Consider the following 4,796-nt stretch of genomic DNA (forward strand, 5'->3'; position numbering starts at 1 on the left):
TAGCTGTCACCTATAGTATAGTCATCATGGTGGAGTCTCCAAAGCTTTGAGAAGCAGGCATAAATTCATTTTATTTATTTACTGGGTTTTAAAAGTTATCTTACTTGCTAGACAATTTATTATTTGCATATTAGACTTTCATTAGTTAAACGTTCAATGGACTGTCCTCTCCTAAAATAAATAGAATATGGGGCTGGGTGCAGTGGCTCATGCATGTAATTGCAGCAATTTGGGAGGCCGAGGTGGGTGGATCACCTGAGGTCAGGAGTTTGAGACCAGCCTGGCCAACATGGCAAAACCCTGTCTCTATTAAAAATACAAAAATTAGCCGGGTGTGATAGGGCGTGCCTGTAATCCCAGGTACTCAGGGGGTTGAGGCAGGAGAATTGCGTGAACCTGGGAGGCAGAGGTTGCAGTGAGCTGAGATTGTGCCACTGCACTCCAGCCTGGACAACAAAGCGAGACTCTGCCTAAAAAAGAATTAAAAAAAAAGACTGGAAATGATTGGAAACAGATCCTCCTAATGGTCACCCAGAAAAAAAGGAAACAAAGGCTACAGGCACACAATTGATGGAAAATAAAAGCCAAATGGTCAATAAATATATGAAACGATGCTCAATTTTATGAGGAATCATGCAAGTGAAAATAAATATGAGATATCATTTGAAATCCATCAATTTGCAAAAGCATATGTAAGACTGACCATATTGACAGACTGTGAGGCAGTAGAACAATGGAGTTCCCCATGCAGTGCTGGTGGGTGTGCAAATCGCTCTGTCAGCGGGAGAGCAGTTAGGCAGTGTGTGGAAAGTTGGAGACAGACCCACCCTTTCATTGAGCAGTCATGATTTTAGGTACACACTCTGGAGAAACTCACATGTGTCCAAGGACATCTGTGAGCCTGTTGCTAGCAACACAAAACCAAGGGAGGGGCAATCTAAATGTCCAGCAAGAAACTTGGTTCAATATATTTTAGTTCTTTTTCAAGCTAGAATACTGTTCACATGTTAAAAGAATGAGCTATAACAACATGTATCAGCACAAAAAATCTCTAAGGTGTACTGTTTTATTAAAAGCACGTCACGACATTTTCATGTGTATACACAAATCCAAGGATGTTCATGGATGTTTACTGCACCAGTATTACAATTGTGCAGAATTGGAGACAACTTAAATATCTGCCAACGGGAGAATTGATCCATAATTGTGGCAGATTCATAACACGGATTATTGAATGGCAGCTGAATTAAATTAGGACCGTTACCTCCATATGGATAAATATCAGATGCAGAAAGAAATATGTACATTTTTAAAAAGTTAAGAGGATGCAAAATAATACTAGGTATTGTTTAGCACATATATATGTATTTATATTAATGATATCTATCTATCTGTGTGACTAAATGATAAGGAGAAACATTGGTGGGCAAAACCAACATGGACTCTTTGTCTTGGAGAATGTAGAAAGGGAAGGGAATATAATGGGGTTAGGACAGAAGCGTTTTACCTATCTGAAATATTTCTTAATGAAAAATGGAAAATAAGGGTTCTAATGTGAGAGAAGTATGACTCTTCCAATTTAGATAGCATTTTATTTATAAAATAAAATTACCATTTAAAAAGTAAATTTTCTTATGTTTTTCCTTCCATTAGCTACAAGATCTAGGCAAGAAATGGCAAACCTGGTGTTTCTTCACCTTGGACTTTTCTCAGTATCTCTGTGCCTGTTTCAGTCATGAGCAAAGTTCAATGACAAACCAAGGAAATGGGCCAAGCCGGTCTGGAGACTGATGCTCCAAACAGCTGCCAGCACACGTACCTCTCCTGTCTGCTCCAATCACTCGATTCTCATTTCCCCATAAGCCCCTTCGCCTCCCTCAGCAGCCCCAGGACTCCCCGTGACTCTGTGATCTCCACAATCACTAGTGAAGGCTAGGACAACAACAAGCTTTTATCATCATATTCACCCCTTGCCAACAAAGCTGAATGGTGCCCAGTTCTTTGAAACTTTCCTTTAGTCCTTGCCGCTGTGATGGATGAGCCTTCTCATCATGTGCTTTGTTTTAAGCTACCACAGATCCAAACGCTAGTCTCTGCAGATGAGAAAAGACAGGGGCAAATACATTTACTTTATGAGGTTGTTCACAGTCCATAAAACATTCAGTTGAAAAAGGATTTTTTTTTTTCAGACAGAGTCTCACTCTGTCACCCAGGCTGGAGTGCAGTGGCACAATCTCGGCTCACTGCAACCTCCACCTCTTGGGTTCAAGCGATTCTTCTGCCTCAGCCTCCTGAATAGCTGGGATTACAGGTGCCTGCCACCACGCCTGGCTAATTTTTGTATTTTCTCTTCAAATCAAAATTAATAGCAGAAGAGGAAGATGAGAAGTTGGATACACTCTTCAAAGAAGCTCCTCGGATAAGGATTTAGGATTCAAAACTCTGTGCCTCTGGTGTTTTTTCAAAACAGCAGACTTCCTTTTCTTAAATTATTCTTTGTTTTTGCTTTCTTAAATTATTTCACCATTTTTCCCCTCTAAATAAGAATTGAAAAAAATGGAAAGAAAAGAGTCAAGAATAAGGAGAGTATGTCACATTGCATGCCTATATCAAAACATCTCATGTACCCCATGAATATGTATACCTGCTATGTACCCACAAAAATAAAAGTAAAATAAAATATAAAGAAAACAGGAGTGGAAGTAGAAATAAAACAAGAGGGAGAAATTAATTACCAACTTGGGAGAAAATAGAAACCATGTGTAGAAGCAAGTTTCATGTTTGCCTTACTTGGTTTTCTTCTGTGGGAACAAGACAAATGGAAAAGTTCCAGAGAATTCACCCTGGAAGTGAACATTCCCATCTTCTCTGAAAACTTACCTGCAAATGGCTTTTACAGCCTTTTCCTGAGAATGCAGAGATCAGTACTCCCAGAGGTAAGACCACATTAGCAATGGAAGGGTGGGGGAAGTCACAGTGTTTAAAAAGTCCTTCTCCTTGCGATAGTTTGCTGAGAATGATGGTTTCCAGCTTCATCCATGTCCCTACAAAGGACATGAACTCATCATTTTTTATGGCTGCATAGTATTCCATGATGTATGTGTGCCACATTTTCTTAATCCAGTCTATCATCATTGGACATTTGGGTTGGTCCTGCACGTTGTGCACATGTACCCTAAAGCTTAAAGTATAATAATAATAAAATGAAATTAAAAAAAAAAGAAAAAGTCCTTCTCTTACATTGATAACATTTCAGTCCATTCTTAACTCTGCTTTTGCTTACTCGGTGAGGCTTTGGTTCTATGACCATAGGTAAATGTCCCCTCCAACCCCTTGCCTTCTGTTTGTAACATTTGTTCTCCAGCTGTTAGTGACAGAATCTTGCTTTAACAGGAAGCATGGGGTAGGGCAGGAATTTCTCATCACACTGAGGGTGCGTATCTTGTGTGCACGTGTGCAGAAGTATGTGCTTTGTTTGCTTCTGAGATTTTTGAGGGTGAGCATATGATCAAAAGCCAGACATAAAAGTGTTAAGTGAGTTGCCTGTGATTTTGAGTTATCTCATGTCAGCTTTCCTTTCTCAAGGTACTGAAAGAAGACACGTTTCACTGCTTTCTAAAGAACTTCTGACTGGGCATGAAGGAGTGAACCAACTGATCAGGAAATTGCCAGTCTTCAAAAGGCCTCATTGCCAGTGGAAAGAGGAGAAACAGAAAAAAATGACCCTGCAGAAAGCAAATGCTCTGATGATTCATGCATTATTTGCAATTTTTTTGAATAAGAGCTAAAAACTAAACACTACTTGAGGCTGGGAATTTCTCTGGGGGAAAGAATAAAGAGTTATTTCCCTCTCAGGACAACACCTAATATTTGCACAGCACGGTAAAGTAATTTTCACAAGTATTATTTTGTTTGTGCATTTTCATCCTCAGGCTGAATTAAGCCTCAGTTTTCATTTTTGATTGAATCTGTCTTTGCTGATAGAAGTTTTCTGGGTGACCCAGACAGTCCTCAGTATGAGATAATGTGATGGAGGATGCAGTGAATCAATCACGTCTCTGCTGGAATTGCTTTCTGGAGACTTTGAGATGTCAGGGTTGAAATGTCACACAGGAGGTCACTGGGCTGGTAGATAACTGGAGATATGACTCCATGAAGGCATTGCTTATCCATGTTCCAAGCATATCTGGCTTCTTTTGAGAGGTAAATAGGGATGGATGAAGAGGAGGAGAGTTAGTCCTGAATTTGTACCCTGGCTCTGCCACTTACCAGCTCTACTGCTCTTGCTAGGGAGATCATGTTAACATATTAACGCCAATAATAATCACTGAAGGTTATGAGTCCTATAAAGTAAGTAGCATTCGCCCTATTTTATAGAAGAGGATACAGCATCAGAAAAGTTAATTGCTTTCCCTAAGTTCCCTGGGCACATTTATTTCTTTATTTTTATTTTTTCATTATACTTTAAGTTCTGGGGTACATGTGCACAACATGCAGGTTTGTTACACATGTATACATGTGCCATGTTGGTGTGCTGCACCCATTAACTCGTCATTTACATTAGGTATTTCTCCTAATGCTTCCCACCCACCTCCCCCACCTCATGACAGGCCCCGGTGTTTAATGTTCCCCACCCTGTGTTCAAATGTTCTCATTGTTCAATTCCCACCTATGAGCGAGAATATGTGGTGTTTGTTTTTCTGTCCTTGTGATAGTTTGCTCAGAATGATGGTTTGCAGCTTCATCCACATCCCTACAAAGGACATGAACTCATCCTTTTTCATGGCTGCATAGTA

The 4,796-nt window shown here is 39.9% G+C and overlaps 1 annotated feature.

The window, feature by feature from the left end:
* Positions 2,178-3,377: an enhancer, noted in NCBI's record as "BRD4-independent group 4 enhancer chr15:91885743-91886942 (GRCh37/hg19 assembly coordinates)". NCBI's record gives its function as "activates an origin of replication core promoter dependent on BRD2, P300/CBP, MED14 and CDK7 cofactors, and independent of BRD4, by STARR-seq in HCT116 cells {active_cell/tissue: HCT116}" and the evidence as "EXISTENCE:reporter gene assay evidence [ECO:0000049][PMID:35650434]".

Source organism: Homo sapiens, chromosome 15, assembly GCF_000001405.40.
Source record: "Homo sapiens chromosome 15, GRCh38.p14 Primary Assembly".
Taxonomy (NCBI): Eukaryota; Metazoa; Chordata; class Mammalia; order Primates; family Hominidae; genus Homo; species Homo sapiens.